The sequence below is a fragment of the Homo sapiens genome, chromosome 17, assembly GCF_000001405.40.
Source record: "Homo sapiens chromosome 17, GRCh38.p14 Primary Assembly".
Taxonomy (NCBI): Eukaryota; Metazoa; Chordata; class Mammalia; order Primates; family Hominidae; genus Homo; species Homo sapiens.
In genome coordinates, this window is record NC_000017.11 from 32,868,634 (window position 1) to 32,885,711 (window position 17,078).

General features: G+C 44.9%; 1 protein-coding gene and 1 long non-coding RNA gene across 9 annotated transcripts in view, besides 2 other annotated features; one reads left to right on the top strand and one right to left on the bottom strand.

Annotated features, from left to right (window-relative positions):
• The window catches only part of MYO1D (myosin ID), a 384,603-nt gene extending 376,112 nt beyond the window's left edge, over positions 1-8,491 (bottom strand). For all 6 annotated transcript variants that reach the window (XR_001752521.3, NM_015194.3, NM_001411088.1 and 3 more), the window contains exon 1: positions 8,145-8,491. Coding sequence is in view for 4 of the 6 variants with exons in the window: in NM_015194.3 (NP_056009.1) it covers positions 8,145-8,239 (95 nt within the window). In the remaining 2 variants the exon portion in view is untranslated. The remainder of the gene's footprint in view (positions 1-8,144) is intronic.
• Positions 7,827-8,816: a silencer, noted in NCBI's record as "silent region_8430". NCBI's record gives its function as "represses an Ori minimal core promoter by ATAC-STARR-seq in GM12878 lymphoblastoid cells {active_cell/tissue: GM12878}" and the evidence as "EXISTENCE:reporter gene assay evidence [ECO:0000049][PMID:35858748]".
• Positions 8,023-8,210: a silencer, noted in NCBI's record as "fragment chr17:31203674-31203861 (GRCh37/hg19 assembly coordinates)". NCBI's record gives its function as "represses an EF-1alpha promoter that drives an FKBP-Casp9 reporter gene in an ReSE screen in HepG2 liver carcinoma cells {active_cell/tissue: HepG2}" and the evidence as "EXISTENCE:reporter gene assay evidence [ECO:0000049][PMID:32094911]".
• The window catches only part of MYO1D-DT (MYO1D divergent transcript), a 29,732-nt gene continuing 20,875 nt past the window's right edge, over positions 8,222-17,078 (top strand). The window contains exons 1-3 of one of the 3 annotated variants that reach the window (NR_184086.1): positions 8,222-8,260; positions 9,211-9,328; positions 9,667-10,002. This is a non-coding gene — a long non-coding RNA (MYO1D divergent transcript). Of the gene's footprint in view, positions 8,261-8,849; positions 8,936-9,210; positions 9,329-9,666; positions 11,449-17,078 lie in introns of those variants that run through there. The other 2 variants (NR_184088.1, NR_184087.1) reach the window with 2 other exon arrangements.

A 17,078-nucleotide genomic window follows, 5' to 3' on the forward strand; every position in this document is an offset into this window, starting at 1 on the left:
AGGAAGAGTTAGCATTAGTTGAGTGAGAATTATATACCAGGCACTTGCTGAACATGTGATTTCATCTCAATAACCCTAAAAGGCGATCATTTTACATATAAGGAAATGAGGCTTAGGGAAGCCTATGGTAAGAGAAGTATGCTCAGCTGAAGCTGAGATTTGAACTTGGTCATTTACGTCTCAGAGCCTGTGCTCTTTCCATGATTCCCTATTGGAAGCATACTTTTGATTCTCTTTTCCCACAAATGCTCAAAACTAAAGTTTGGAAAACATTGTTCTATTCAAGAGATCTTGGCTGGGTTCGGTGGCTCATGCCTGTAATCTCAAAACTTTGGGAGGCTGAGGCGGGCGGATCACTTGAGCTCAGGAGTTTGAGACCAGCCTGACCAACATAGCAAAACCCCATCTCTACTAAAAATACAAAAAAAAAAAAAAATTAGCTGGGAGTGGTGGTACGTGCCTGTAATCCCAGCCACTAGGGAGGCTGAGGCATGAGAATCGCTTGAACCTGGGATGCAGAGGATGCAGTGAGCCAAGATCGCACTACCGCACTCCAGCCTGGGCAACAGAGCGAGGCCCTGTCTCAAAAAAAAAAAGAGATCTAGCCAGTAATTACATTGCAGTTGAACTGAAAGAAGCCTGCTTCCTACAGGAAATAAAACTGTCATCCAAATCAAGGCATCTAATAAATGATAAAGGAGAGACATACAATGCATATTTTAAAATGCTGTTACCCTCTGACCCCATTATGAATATAGTTGGCATTTTTATAGGCCATGTCGGTGAGGCTCATGAACAGGTAATCTACCCAGCGGAGCTGGAGCCACTGCTGACAGTAAAGTTCCCCGACTTAGCAGTGGCTGGGCAATAATACAATGACCCAAACCAGTTCCAGTGGCAGCACCACAAATGGGTACTAGAGAATTATCATTAAATGAGGTCACTCCTAGAGATAGTGTCCATTTTGCTTAGCTGACTCACACTTAGGTGAGAATGTCAACGAACAGCTCTCCACATAGAGCTAATATGGAGATCACTAAATAAACACATTTCTAGCTATATCAGATTCAACATTTTTGTCTCAAAGTTAAGCAAAAAGCCAAAGTGTATCTCTTTAATGTAAAAGTAGTTCCCAAATAAAAAAAAAAAATTAGCCAGGCTTGGTGGTGTGCGCCTGTAGTCCCAGCTACTCAGGAGGCTGAAGTAGGAGGGTTGCTTGAGCTGGGGAAGTCAAGGCTGCAGTGAATCATGATTGTGCCATTGCACTCCAGCCTGGGTGACAGAGTGAGACCTCGTCTAAAAAAAAGAAAAAAGAAAAGTAGATCCCATCAGAACCTGCAATGAAATGAACCAGTAGCAACTTCTAAGTGCTTGATTCCACCCACATCTGGCTCTATTTGGGAACTAAATTCAGCAGAAGTCTCCAGGGTCAAGAAATGACCCTGAATAAAAATAGTCTCGGAAATCTGTCACGGAGTAGGAAAGGAAACCAGGCGGCAGGGTGATTCACTCCAAATGGCAGCTCCAAAACCCAAATTCCCATTTTTGTCCCAATATGAAGCCAATGTACAAAACAGGCAGAGAGCAAACTGTCCTTTTCCAAAGGCCTTCAAAAGAGGTTGCCAAAGAATTTCACATGGAAGCCAAAAAGATTTAGTGTGCCATTCACCTCTCCTATAAATCTAACTAGAGCTATTTCTAACTAGAGCCCTGAACCAATGGCAGGTTTACATTTACTTGAAGACCACCCAGGGTATCTATGGGTTTTTTTCCCTGGCAAGCAAGAGACACCCTTTGTCCCACCAAATTTTCCAAATGACCAAACAGCCACAGAGAAAGAATACAGGGGTGGTGTGGTGAGTATGTGTGTGTCTGTTTCCTGCCTTTCTTCTAATCTATAACTCACTGCCCCAACACACAGTTAAGTTCTATTAAAGTACAGTATTTTGAGAAGATTGTCTGCTAAAAAAAAAAAAAAAGAAAGAAAAAAAAGAAATAATTCCATTGGTTGAAGACCAATCAGCCAACATTTGAGTACTCAGTTAATTCATTTTAAGATGTATTAAACATGGGGAAGGGCAAATTCTGTAGCATCACAGAAAACGCAAAAGGATTAAAGGTAGGTTTGCTTCACAGCCACTCACTTGCACCTTCCCCTTCCAAAGCCTTGCATTTTATTCTGCATTCATGATTTACATTCTTTTTCTTAAAGGTGGTTGCCCCCAAGCATTATGAGGTTCAAAGCACCAGAAAACCTGGATCTACCTCTGAACAGGCTATCTGCCTTTGAGGATTCCATAGGTTGGTGAGGAATATGAATATGATAAATTCTCTGTTATGAATAAATGTCCATGTATCCTGAGAGCACATGAGAATGTGACATTGACCTGTTTTGGGGGATTGGGAAAGATTTCTCACATCTGGTCTTGAAGGATGAGTAAGAGTATGGCAGGCAGGGAATGAGGGCAGAGATGAGGAAAGGAGGACATTCCAGGGGGTGAAAACAGCAAGAGCCAGTGGCTCTCAGCTAGGGATAATATTGCATGCATGTGAGCACAAAGACACCCACCCACACACAACCCCCCCAGGGACTTGTGGCAATGTCTAGAGACATTTTTGGTTGTCATAAATGAAAGAGGAGTGGAGTTGTTGACATCTAGTGAGTAGAGGCCAGGGATGCTTCTAAACATCCTACGACACACAGGACAGCCCCTACAACAAAGTCTAAAATGTCTAAAATGTCAATAGTGACAAGGCTGAAAATCCCAGGTCTAAGCAAAGGTACAAAAGACATACTGTGTTAGATTAAAAAAGAGAAGTTGCATGGAGCTTTGGCATGCACAGTGCTTCAGATGATTGCTTTTATGGAAGACAAAACCCAGTAAGAAAAGAGAGGGTGAAAAATTAAATTTCTGAGAAGCCAAGATATCAGACTGAATAGATGCTTTATTCTCAAAACAGGAACCAATAACAAATAAAGTTAAGAAACTGGACCTCTGGAAGTCTAACGTATATTTCATTGTCCTATAAAATGGAAAGCATTTCTGTCAAGGACACCGTCCGTGGCTCAAGTCCACTCCTGAGCAGTAGCCTGCATTCTTCCTTTCACGCACATGGCTGAGAGTGAGGAGTGTGCGGAGTAAGGAGCACGCCGAGGAGCAGATGCAAGCAGCTTGCCCTGGCAGGACTCTCAGAGGGAGGGTGCAAAGCTGATGTTAATGCTGGAAGAACTCACGTATAGGAATGGCCCATGTAAGGAGAAAAGGAACCAATGAGCTCCACATCCAAAAAGGAAGTGGCTACAGAGAAAGCAGAACATGGTAGGACAGGGATGTTGTGGTTAGGGCTTCAAGTGGTCATCAGGGTTGCTGGCAGGAACTGCTCCTGACCATGGAAGCAGGCAGGACTCATACAGAGGTCTTACGCCTGAGCAGAGACCCTTGGAAATTGGAATGAGGAACTTATCACCACCACCTCCATCTCCACCAAAAAGTCAAAAGAAATATCCCCCAACAAGAGACTTCTGGGAGGGAAAGAAGGAGCCCTCACAATACAAGCAGGTTTTGTTATAAAGCAAGGAATATAAATTGAAGCTCCTTCTCAGATATTCCAGGGTTTTGTTAGAACACAAGCAGGTTTTATTTATTTATTTATTTTGAGACGGAGTCTTGCTCAGTCACCCAGGCTGGAGGGCAATGGCGCAATCTCGGCTCACTGCCAGCTCCACCTCCCAGGTTCACGCCATTCTCCTGCCTCAGCCTCCCAAGTAGCTGGGACCACAGGCACCCACCACCACGCCTGGCTAATTTTTTTTGTATTTTTAGTAGAGACAGAGTTTCACGGTGTTAGCCAGGATGGTCTCGATCTCCTGACCTCATGATCCGCCCGCCTCAGCCTCCCAAAGTGCTGGGATTACAGGCGTGAGCCACCGCGCCCGGCCGCAGGTTTTGTTATAAAGCAAGAAATATAAGTTGAAGCTCCTTCTCAGATATCCTAACTCGCAGTAATCCACATCACTCTTTTACTCTTGCCCCATCCAGACACACATCTAGGTCAATTTTTTTTTTTTTTTTTGAGACGGAGTCTCGCTCTGTCACCCAGGCCGGACTGCGGACTGCAGTGGCGCAATCTCGGCTCACTGCAAGCTCCGCTTCCCGGGTTCACGCCATTCTCCTGCCTCAGCCTCCCGAGTAGCTGGGACTACAGGCGCCCGCCACCGCGCCCGGCTAATTTTTTGTATTTTTAGTAGAGACAGGGTTTCACCTTGTTAGCCAGGATGGTCTGGATCTCCTGACCTCATGATCCACCTGCCTCGGCCTCCCAAAGTGCTGGGATTACAGGCGTGAGCCACCGCGCCCGGCCTAGGTCAATTTTTAAAAGTAAAAATGGTAGGAGAAAGTTGCATCAATTGTGGCAGTTGTCTAAAAATCAAGCTTTAGCTCCAAGAGGGAAAAAGAAGGCCAGATTAATAGCAAAACAAGAAGATAATTCTAAAAGGACAATGCCACATAAGCTTTTAAAAAAAAAAGTAACAAGCATTTTTCCCTCTCTACAAAAAAATGTTGTCATGAAGGAATGTACTCTGTACCCAGCATTATGCTAGGTGCTGCTGTTGAGAAAACACAGACCCATGAAGCACCTGCAGCCTTGAGTGCTTGACTATTACATGACTTAAAGGAAGGAAGCAGGCCTTGCAGAAGAGCCAGGTGGGAAGGGAGGACAGGACATTCCAGACTGGGGAGTAAGAGCAGGAACTACAGCTTGGGAGGGCAGGAGTCATGAGGTACAAGCACACATGGGAATTTCACTCACACATCCATATATACCAATGGACCAAACACGCTCAATTTCAGCTATATACAACCAGAAATATGTGCCCAACCACCAATATTCCAGGAGACAAAAACACTTCAACATCACAGAACAGCACCTGGATTACGCAGTGGTGGGTTTCTGGTCACCTTCTGCAAAGTGAAAGGAAAGAGAGGACTGTTTTCTGTCTGGGTCAGAATTTATAGTTTCAGAGGAGGGTAAGGGTGCTACCCTTTGCTGGCACTGTGTTTATGGCTACAGGGAACCAACTATTTTAATGTATAAGTAAGTCATGAACAATCACTGATCTGTACAATGAGAACCACAGCCAGTTCTCAGAGTCATCAAGGACACACAGATGAGATACATACAAATACATATACATCTGTACACCCAGGATTTTGAATGATGTGGAGATTGGGTATAAAGGTAGACCTAAAAACCTGGGCCTTAGCCAATGGCCATATGGAGAGCTGGTGATTCCTCCCACCTCTCCACAACACCAACCCCTTCCCTTCCAAACAACTTAACTTATTCACTGTCACCCAGAGTCAGCTTTCATGCCGCCAACCCCTGCTCATGCTGCTTAATCCACCTGGAATGCTCTCCAGCCACGAGTCCACCTTTACAAATCCTACCCATCCTTTGGAACTCAGCTCAACTCCTCTCTTCCTCTATAAGGTGTTTTGGAGTCAACCTAAGGTATCTCTCTCTCTTCTGAACTTCCAGAACAATTTCTATAATTACTTGACAAATAATCACCTAAGCTTTATAAGGCTTTTATCTTCTCTTTCTTTTCCTTTCTTTTTTTCTTTTCTCTCCTTCCTTCCCTTCCTTCCTCTTTATCTGTCTCTGTCTCTCTCTCTCTCTTTGTGTCTCTGTCTCTCTCTGTTTTCTTTCTTCTTTTTCTTCTAAGAGACAGGGTCGTGCTCTATTACACAGGCTGGAGTACAGTGGTGTGATCATAGCTCACGGCAGCTTTGAACTCCTGGGCTCAAGCAATCCTTCTGTCTCAGCCTCCTGATGTTGTTTTCTTGAACTATTCTTTAAATCAATAGAAAATTCCACCTTTCTCCAGGTCTTCATTGAGATGTCACCTCTTCGAGAGGTAAGCAGCACATCTTGTAGTTCTTTGGATACTCCTAGCTTATCTCCTAGAGTACCTTGCACACAGTAGAATTAAATTGCAGCATTCGGCCGGGCATGGTGGCTCACACCTATAATCCTAGTGCTTTGGGAGGCCAAGATGGGAGGATTGCTTGAGGCCAGGAATTCAAGAACAGTCTGCTCAACATAGCAACTCTAAGGGCCCATCTCTAAAAAATATAAATATAAATATAAATAAATTGCAGCATTCTCTTCTGTACACATAGGAGTTGTTAGGCTCACCTTAGTAATCTATTTTGAGATTCAAACTTCACACTTAAGAGACTTAATGCTTTAAAAAAAAAAGCAGAAATTCTAAGTGCCTTCCCTCAATTTACTTTTTAAAAACCACAAGAGTTTTAATTCTATTACAGAGGAGTAGTCCTACAAACTAATGTAGCCCTGTTAGACTCTATGCCTTCAATTTCAAATTCTGAAAATTCTGCAAAAGCTCTGGCTAAGCCCATGTATTTGCTGGAGGTGAAAGATGGAGGTTAAAATGAAAGGCTTCATATTCAACTGTTACTACATGGTCTTGTATACAGTATGTACATAATAAATGTACCAATGTCTGAAAAACTGAAATGATTATAACTGAGAGTGACAAAATTATAAAGGCATTTCTCAAAGCACACAACTTATTTCCTGTGGGGGAGAGGAGTAGAATCTCTTAATTTAAAACAACCTTAATCTATGAAATTGCTATGTAACTTACCCCTTTATCTATTTTATGTGCACTTGGGAAAACTTAAAACAGTTTTACTAATATGGATTTGCCAGGCACTAATCTTTGAAGTATGTATACACATATTATTAATAATTCATTTAACCCTCAGGACAACCCCAATCCTACAGACGGGAAGACTGAGGCACAGAGAGGTTAAGTAACTTGCTCAAAGATCACAGCAAGAATGCAGTGGAACTAGAATTTGAATCTCAACAGTCTGACTCTTAATCACTATGATAATGGGTATTGGTTATAGCTGATGTAGAGGTATATCATTTTGATTAATATTTGGGGTGATTTCTATAAAAGTTGTACATCCAAACCTTGATCAGAAATGTAACATCCTATCATTATGCTGGTATGTAATCAACCTGATTGACCCCTGTCAACTGGATTGACAGGGGTAGTTAATAATGAAATTAGGGTTAAGCACCCAAGCCTAGATTATGACTTTCACTTTATAAGCTTAAGGAATGATGTTTAGCTATAAACCTTAGAAGAAATGCAGCCAAAGCTTGCAGGGAAACATACACACGCACACCAAAACTCAGCTATTTTGAAATTCCACTTACTTTAATGTTTAAGTCAAACTACTTTAAAACTGTTTACATATTACTCTATCAAGGGTGAAATAATCGCATGTAAAGGGCTTTCTAAAACAAATCCACATCTTGGAAGCCCATTTTGGGGCGTTGAGTTGTGACTACGTTCTCAAGGATGTTAATAACACAAGAGCTCCATCCACTAACTCCTTGAAAAAAACCAAAACCATGAACGTCTTGTCAAATTCAGACAGTTTATCTTGGCACTGGCAAGTACAGCAGTCTCTTCGATGTCTGGAAACGTGTCTAATTACGTTTAGAGAGTAACTAAAAAAATAGCCAGTGTCCCGGAACAGACAGCTCAGGGATCACTCCATAGCATCCTGAATGACAGGATGGAACTACGCCAGGAGGAAAAAAAAAAGAAGGGCGAAGAAAGAAAGAAAAGAAGCAAGTGTAAAGCCGGGATGAGACGCCAGCCTCTCTCCAAAATAATCCTCCAGTCCTCCTAGGGCCTTCGGGGCCACCGCAACTCTCGTTCAAGTTATTTCCCTTCAGTTTCCATGAGGTCACCGGCCCGCCCACATCCCTCACCTGGCGCGGGGAAGCGCGCCCTCCCGCGCGGCACACCCTCTGCACCTAAACCCCGGACAGCGCCCAGGGCTCCCCTCTCAGGGAAGCGCGGCCCTTGAGCTCGACACGCCCCCCGCACCCCAAAGCGGCCGCACCCCAGGGGCGTCCGCTCTCGGGAAAGCGCAGCCGCGGAGCTTGGCAGACCCCCGGACACCGCAGCCCGGCCGCGCCTCCATCCCTGGAGCTTGGGCGCTCCCGACACCCCGGATCCGGCCGCGCCCCGAGGCGCCCCCTCTCGGGAAAGCGCAGCCTCGCGCCCCTGCGCGCGGCCGCTCCGCCCTCACCTGAGCCTGAGGTTGGCCATGAACTCGGGCATGGAGACGGTGTCCATCAGCACGAAGTCTGCCTTGCCGAATTCCAGGCTCTCCTGCTCCGCCATGGCGCCAGCGCGGGGGCTCAGGTGGGCGCGCTCGGGCCTCCGGGGCCGCTCCGTGGGCCCGCGATGAGCTCGGGAGGGGCCGGGGCGAGGCCGCGCCGCGAGGCTACGGGGAGGGGGCGCGCACGCCGCTCGGCGGGTCCGGGCCGGACAGAGGCCGCCTCGCTGCTCCTCGGCGCCTTCTCGGCCGGCGCGGCTCCGAACGGGACGCACCCGACAGTTTCCGCTCCTCCCGCCGCGGCTGCCGGGCGCTGTAGGGGCCGGGACACCGAGACGGAGACGGCAGCGGCTGGTCCCGCCTCCAGCCTGGGGCTCGTCCCGGCTCCGCCCCGCCCGGGCCTCCCGGCTCCGCCCCTCCCGGCCCACTGAGGAGCCCGCCCCAGCCGCGGCCCTGGCCGCCGCCTCTTCACCTGGGCGGCGCGCACGCGCGGGTGGGCGGCGGGGACGCGCGCTGGGCCGGGCGGCGGCAGCTGGGTGGCAGCGCCCCCTGGGGACAGGCGCTGGGATCTCAGGCGGCCAAGAGGATGGCCGCCTGCCGCCCACACTTGGTAGCTGCCAACAAAGTTAGAAAAGTAGTTCGTGGAGCTTTTCGCGAGGACAATTCATTATGATTCTGTCACCCTGCTCCAAAACCCACTCCCGCCTCTCTACTCACACCCTGCCCATTCTTGAAGTGGTGGTTCAAGCACAGACTGAGAGGTAATAATAATGGCTAACATTTTTGGGGCACCAAAAATGCCCAGAGCTGTTCTCAGCGCCTTAGAGAACTTTTAAGAAACTTGCCATACGACTAGGAAGTGGAGCAGCTGCGGTTTCACGCAGGTCATTTGACTTAGGAGCCGCAGCGTTCAACCACGTCTGACTACCTCCATTCTTCAGTGGCCCATTTTCTCTTCCACTCATCCGAGCATGTCATCAGACATTACCTTATATGATTATTAAGTTTTTAATATATCTTTGTATCATCTCTCCAGGATTATTGCGGATGTCTTGAGCATGGGACCATTCTTTTTGCATCCACCAAATAACTATTGTACTACTTTGCATATATAAATATGAAATCCATACTGGTTCAGTGGAATGAAGTGAGTTGTAAGTAGTCTCCAATTTATTGATACATTGGTTGAGCTTGGAAAATTCTTTTTGAACTCAATGTATTTTCCCAAAGAAAATATACTACAAATGACTTTCTTTCTTTTTTTTTTTTTTTTCTTTTTCTGGAGACAAATTCTCCCTCTGTCACCCAGGCTGGAGTGCAGTGGTGCAATCACAGCTCACTGCAACCTCAAACTCCTGGGCTCAAGCAATCCTCCAGCCTCAGCCTCCTGAGCAGCTGGGACTACAGGTGTATGACACCATGCCCAGCTATTTTTTTTAAATAAATGACTTTCTAAGGTATCTACATTTATTCAGTCCTGTGTTTCTGTTAGGACATCTTCTATTACAAAATCTACGAGGAAATCTAGAGGCCTCCAAGGACCTGGCTGGGCTTCAACTCTGGCTGAGTTTGAGATGAGTAAACCAGACTGAAGGACCTTGCCCAAGGCCTGCTTCAGCTGCCAGCCACCCACACTTGCTAAGAGAAAGGAAAGGAGCTTTGTCACCTCCTGAGGGACTGCCTCTGCCATCAGAAAACCACCCCAATCCCTGGCACCAGCAGAGCTGGGTTGCATCTGACTACCGTTAGCAGCTGTCCTTCAGAAGGAGGAGATCCACCTGTCTCGATATCAGTGTCCTCATTTGTGGAATAAAAGCTCTGGAATAAGGTAGGACTGTCCTATGGTTGGGTCATTTGTGGAGGTGTCGGTCAGTGGCTAAGTAGGTTATTGCATAGGGTATGGTTGTATTCCTAATGTTTGTATTGGCATGTTTTAACATAAGCAGAACTGAACTTCAAGAAGGAAAGAAAGAAATCTCAAACTGTATGCACTTTGGAGCATCCAGGGACCACACCCCAAAACCTTTTGGTAAATTATATATGTGTGTTCCCTGAGCTCTGTAGGTGTTAAAAATTAGGGCAAAATCCCAGGTACCAGGAAAAGAAACATCACGGCTTGCAGATGATGAGAGAGTTGCAGAAATTGTACAGTGGTTAGGAGCTATGGTGGGATACAATGTGGTTTCCAAATGGCCAAAGTAAGAGATCCTCATTTTAATCAACATCTTATATAGGAACCCAACATATAAAACACATATACAACATATGCAAAGGGTATTTTATTAATTTCTTGTATAAGTCCAAATTAGTATAAAATTAGGCATTGATGCTCTCATGATGAACCCAAATCTGCTCAATGGGGCTCACTATTAGCCTCAGGATTCCAGTTTACTTTTGTATGTTGTTTTCATTGTACTGTGTCAAGCAAATTCTTGTTTGTATAACTAAGCAGTAATTTGTTACCCATACAACTTTACATTCAGCATTTCTAGGCCAATGTGCAGTTACAACATTATTAATCAATGACACACTTGAGCAAAGTTCAGGTATATGCACAGCCGGCAGGAGAGACTGAATACTCTGGTCTGCATTCAGTCAAGGTAACCTAGAGCAGATTAGCTCATTATGAATGTTCTTTGTGATAAAATTTGAATAGAAACACATTTGGAGATGCATGTTTTTGTTACAGTTTAAAATATACAAAAAATAAAACAAATAAAAGTTTATATCCCCAATCATGAGACACACAGACACCATGAGCCTCCTGATATGGTCTCCTGAAAAAGACACATATCATTTACCTGCTAAAAATACGTAAATGGAATCTAATCATGAAGAAGCATCAAACAAACTCACATTAAGGGGCATCCTACAAAACAATTGACCTGTATTCTTCAAAAATATCAATGATGTGAAAGACAAAGAGGCTGAGGCACATCACTATTAAAGGCAATGGGTGATTCTGGACTGGATCTCCAACCAGAAAAATGTAAAGGACATTGTTGGGATAATTGGTGAAATTCAAATATAGACGCGATGTTAGATAGTAGGATAGTATCAATGCTAGTTTTTCTGAACTTGATCATTTTACTGGGATTCTGCAAGATAATGTCCTTGTTTCTAGCAGGTATCTGCTAAAGTATTTAGGAGTAAAATGATGTCTCGAACTGTTTGGCAAGAATAATAAAAATAATAAGATGAGGAGGTGGAAGGAGGGCGTGCATATATATTGGTAGACATATAAATGATTAAAGCAAATGATGCAAAATACTAACAAGTGGTAAAGTCATTAAAAATATATGGGACTTTTGAGGGGATTTTCTTTTGTACTATCCTCACAACTTTTCTGTAACTTTGCAATTAGTTTGAAATTTATTCATTTATTTTGAGACGGAGTCTTGCTCTGCCGCCCAGGCTGAAGTGCAGTGACACGATCTCGGCTCACTGCAACCTCCGCCTCCCGGGTTCAAGCGAGTCTCCTGCCTCAGCCTCCTGAGTAGCTGGGACTACAGGTGCATGCCACCATGCCCAGCTAATTTTTGTATTTTTAGTAGAAACGGGGTTTCACCATGTTGGTCAGGCTGGTCTCAAGCTCCTGACCTCATGATCTGCCCACCTCAGCCTCCCAAAGTGCTGGGATTAGAGGTGTGAGCCACCACACTCGGCCTGAAATTTAAACTTAAAAATTAAATAGTAATCTAAAACTGTGCTAAATAAAAATTTTTAATTTAAAAATATTAAATAACACTTAGAAATCAAAGTCACATCAGAATTTTGCAAACCTTCCAGAACTGAAGAACCAGCAGATATTTTTGAAAACCCTGGTCCAGGGTACCTCTTAGCTCTATTTGGCATAGATGTGCTAGGAGATTATAAACACTGAACAGGTAATTCTAAAAACAAAAATAATTAGATGTCAAATATACCCATATGCCCCTGAGAAGGTGCATCCTGTTCTCTGCCTGAAGTTCTCCCCGCCACCCCACCCCTCACTCCTATGACCTAGCTAACTTCCGCTCATCCCTCCGCTCTCAGTCTCAACATCACTTCCTCCAAGAAGGCTTCCATAATCTCCTGAGTCAGAATTGGCTGTTCCTCCTCTGTGCCTCCTGCAGCATCCTGGAAGTGCTGCCCCCATTACAGTACTAAATGCCCTTGAGCCTACTGTCTGTCTCTCTCACTCGTTTGTAAGGGCCATGAGGGCTGGAAGCTGTCTTTTCTGGTTTTTGATGTAAATGTAATTCTGGCACCTCCTAGCATAGTGCTAAGAGATGAAGTGCTTAATAAACTGTTGCTTGATAAATGAATATGGAATGGTCTGTGAACCTATGGGTCATAAAATGTGAGACTGTAAATCCACCCCCCTTGGTAGTTTTCTGCATTGCAAATTAGTCATTGTACAACATTAACCTCAGTCTCATCTCCTGCCCCGGAAGCAGATCTCAGGGCTGTGTTTATTTCTCCCCTGGGACCAGGCCTGCACACTGTGTGTTCACACTGAACAAAAGCTACTGTTCCAAAAACCCTTCTGTAGTTACCAGCCACTGCAGAGGGTCTACTCTTGATGATCCACGAAAATCAACCCTGAATTTTCCACCACAAATGTTTATTCCCATTCAACTTTCCCAGAATGTTTCTGGGCTGCCCTGCCCTCCCTCCCTTTACCAGAGGCTTTGCATCCAAGGAAGACAACTCTTTCAGCATGAGTCTGGCAAGACAGAAATAAGACAGCTAGGAAAAAAACAACAACAACAATAGTCACACAGCATATTCAAAGGGCATTTTATAAATTTATTTTATAATCCCAAATTATCACAGAGCAGAAGTAGAAAGGCAAACATATGTTGCAAAATAACTTCATTACGTACTTACAGCCATATAGAAATGATTTGGAACTCTGCCTTAGAAAATATCCAAAACATACCTCCTCCTCTTTACTGCATGAGCCTGGATTTGAACTAAGAATGATACATCAGAAATAGCATATGTACTTTTCATGGCTTCTGAAGCCAAAAAATTCTTTAAGTATAAAGAGACCTGACAGTTGCCTCTCTGATGTCATTAATGACTTTTACCCACCTGTAGAGTCCCCTCTCTCCCCTAACCCCCAACCTGACACTCTAGACATCTCACAGGACAAAGGAAAGGGAGTTTTCATGGCAGGGATCACTACCCTGAACCATCCTGAAAGTCCAAAAAGTGATTTTTAAAGTTCATCTTCTCACCTCTAACTCTTAAAGACAGAAGACTAGCAAGCCAATTGCTAACGACTTGGCTTTGAGTTCTAGACACTTCTTTTCTCCATTGTTCCTGTGGTCCAGCTGTGCTTACCTGTGATGGTGTTGAGTTGGGGACTGGAGTGACTGTGATACCACAGACAGAGCTCCTTTTAACTAATCAGGCTAAGCACAGAGGGTGTTGGGAGATGTCAGCTGAAGAGGGGAGGAGATAGAGGAGGAAGAGAAGGAAGGAGCCGGTACTACAAGGGTGTCGGCAGCAAGAGGAGAGTAGCAAGGCACTACTTCTCAATTTTAGGTTTCATCATCCTTTAATAAAAACGTGTGGACTTCCGGCTGGGCACAGTGGCGCATACCTGTAATCCCAGCACTTTGGGAGGCTGAGGCGGATGGATCATGAGGTCAGGAGTTCAAGAGCAGCCTGGCCAACATAGTGAAACCCCGTTTCTACTAAAAATACAAAACTTAGCTGGGCATGGTGGCACGCACCTGTAGTCCCAGTTACTCAGGAGGCTGAGGCAGGAGAATTGCTTGAACCCGGGAGGCGGAGGTTGCAGTGAGCTGAAATCGTGCCACTGCACTGCAGCCTGGGCAACAGAGCGAGACTCTGTCTCAAAACAAAACAAAAACACTTGTGGACTTTTTCTCTTGAGACAAATATATTAAGCACATACACAGAACAGTTTGCCCACGGGCCACCAATTCACCTCCACCCCTGGAAGTAACCTCTCTTCTACGGGCCCCAAGTTAAGGACTCCTGAGCTAAGGGAAAGATCACACCACAATTCCTGATTATTTTGGAATGGAGAAGAATTATAGCAAGCCATCACTGTCAGTATCCTGTGAGTCACCAGACAGGGACTGTCCCAATAACTCATCCCCCTGTGTGGGCAGACAAGCCACAGATGTAAGGCCACAGGAAAGATAGAATCAGAGGGTGGAGGCGGACAACCTGGAACTGCCTCCAGAATTATTCCTGCTTGCCATGACGTAGTTTCTGACTATAAACATTCAAAGGGAATGCATCTTCTTTAGGAATTACAGAAGTGTTTATCACTCTGGGTTGGAGTTGGCTGTTCAGGCATATCCCTAAACTCTCTAGGACAGGGGCTGTGCCCAACTCATCCTTATATCTACAACCCCTCAAACTGTGCCTGGTACCCAACAGGTATTTCTTGAGTGTAGTAGGTGAATTAATTAGCAAGTTAATTAGTAAATGGATGTGTGTAGATGTATTGTTCCATTTTAAGGGCCATATGGCCTTTCCTTAAGCCCCAAACCAAATAATCACTAAATCTCAAGCTATTCTGCCATTGAAAGCAGTCCTAGAGCTAGAAAGTTTGGGAGTGTGATAGGAACCCATGAGAGGGAAAACAAAAAGACATATCACAATCTATTCATGGATTGATGGTGTCTTAAGGCAGGATGTCTCAAGCTTTAAAGTGCAGAAGAATCACTTAGGGGGCCAGGCGCCGTGGCTCACGCCTGTAATCCCAGCACTTTGGGAGGCCGAGGCGGGCGGATCACGAGGTCAAGAGATGGAGACCATCCTAGCCAACGTGGTGAAACTCCGTCTCTACTAAAAATACAAAAATTAGCTGGGCGTGGTGGTGGGTGCCTGTAGTCCCAGCTACTCGGGAGGCTGAGGCGGGAGAATCACTTGAACCCGGGAGGCGGAAGTTGCAGTGAGCCGAGATCGTGCCATTCCATTCCAGCCTGGTGACAGAATAAGAGTCCGTCTCAAAAAAAAAAAAAAAAGAAAAAGAAAAAGAAAAATCACTTAGAGATCTTGTCAAAAATGCAGAATTTGATTTAGTAGGTCTGGGTCCTGAAATTCTGCTCTTCTAATAAGCTCCCAAGTGATGCTGATGCTGCTGGTTCTGAGACCACACTTTAGGTAGCAAGATTCTAAGGAATAGAATGTTGTTACTTGAACATCATGTTTAAGTATGATGATATCTGTAAAGGAGGATATGTTTGGTCATATCAAACATCCTCCTTTACAGACGGACAAACCGAGTCCCAGGAAGAGTGGCTGACTAACTAGATCAAAGTGAGGCAGTGGTAGAGCTGAGACCAGAACTCAAAATATGTGGTTTGGGTCATGTAATGGGTAGTTTCCACTATCCAGCATGGACATTCAATTAAGAGATTGCGCCGGGAGGCTGGGGCAGGAGAATTGCTTGAACCCAGGAGGCCGAGGTTCCCGGGTGGGCCAAGATCGGGCCACTGCACTCCACCCTGGGTGACAGAGTGAGATTCTGTCTCAACAACAACAACAAAAAATTAAACAATTTAAAAAAATTTAAAAAGAGAGAAATTGCACTTCGTGAGATGAAGTTCAGGAGGTAAGGTAAGTAGAAGTGAGGGAGAGCAACACCCTAGATCTTCTCTGGGTACCCCCAGAACTTCTGTTCCTTTCCCATTTGTAAATATTGGGATGATGTCTTCATTTTCTCTGTCCCCTTTTTCTCCTAAAAGTTTAGAGTAGAGGTTAAAGAGGAGATATTGTTGGGATTGGAAGAAAACCGTTCCAATTCCAAGTACTTTGCTACTTTGTCAGGTGGAGGGAAGAAATGAATTGGAATGGTTTTCTTTCAAACCCAACAATATCTAGTAACTAGTACAAGATACGATAATAATAACTAGTACTAGATACATCTACTACTACAATATCTAATACCTAGTACTAGTTAGTACTAGTTTCACCTAGCATTCATATTGGGTCAGTATCTGCAGAATTGACATTCCAGGAAGAGTGCAACATCATATTTAGGGTGATGGATAATCTGCTCCCCCAAACTGCTTTCCTCCTGCCTTTTACCCAGAGTTTCTCAGTTTCTCAACTGGTAAGCTGCAGCAGTATCCATCTCCTAGGGTTAAGATCCTGAAATAAAATGCATAGCATGACCCTCTGACTTTTTCCAACCAACTGGATTAATTCTTCAGAATATCTAGAGGTATAAATAATGTGAGCCATGCTTATATCCAAATCTGACAACCTGAACCCTGAAGAAATTATACAGGGGAAAAGTTTCAATCTAGGAGATCCCAGAGGTCATGTAACCCAATATCTCATCCAATGCCTGAATCCCCTCTGTAATATGCCACAATGTCTGCACCTACCTGGGACATTTGCCTCATTAGGCCTCCCTCATGCCCAGAAGGTATATCTACATAAAAACAGCTCATTCATCTGTAATCCCAGCACTTTGGGAGGCCGAGGTGGATGGATCACGAGGTCAGGGGTTTGAGACCTGCCTGACCAACATGGTGAGACCCCATCTTTGCTAAAAATACAAAAATTAGCTGGGCATGCTGGTGCATGCCTGTAATCCCAGCTACTCAGGAGGCTGAGGCAGGAGAATCACTTGAACCCAGGAGGCGGAGGTTGCAGTGAGCTGAGATTGCACCACTGCACTCCAGCCTGGGCGACAGAGCGAGACTCCATCTCAAAACAAAACAAACAAACATCTCACTCACTCTTAGTCCTGAACCACTGCCCAGACTCGCTGCATGCCCTGTATGCCAACCAGCTCCCAACTGTCCCATCTTCTTGTTCCTCATTATCCCTATTTATGAGCTTGATTTGTCCTTTGGAGCTTATATGCCACCAAGGTAGGACCAGCTTGAAGTGAATTGTAATCAAGCTGGGGGGCCAAGGTCA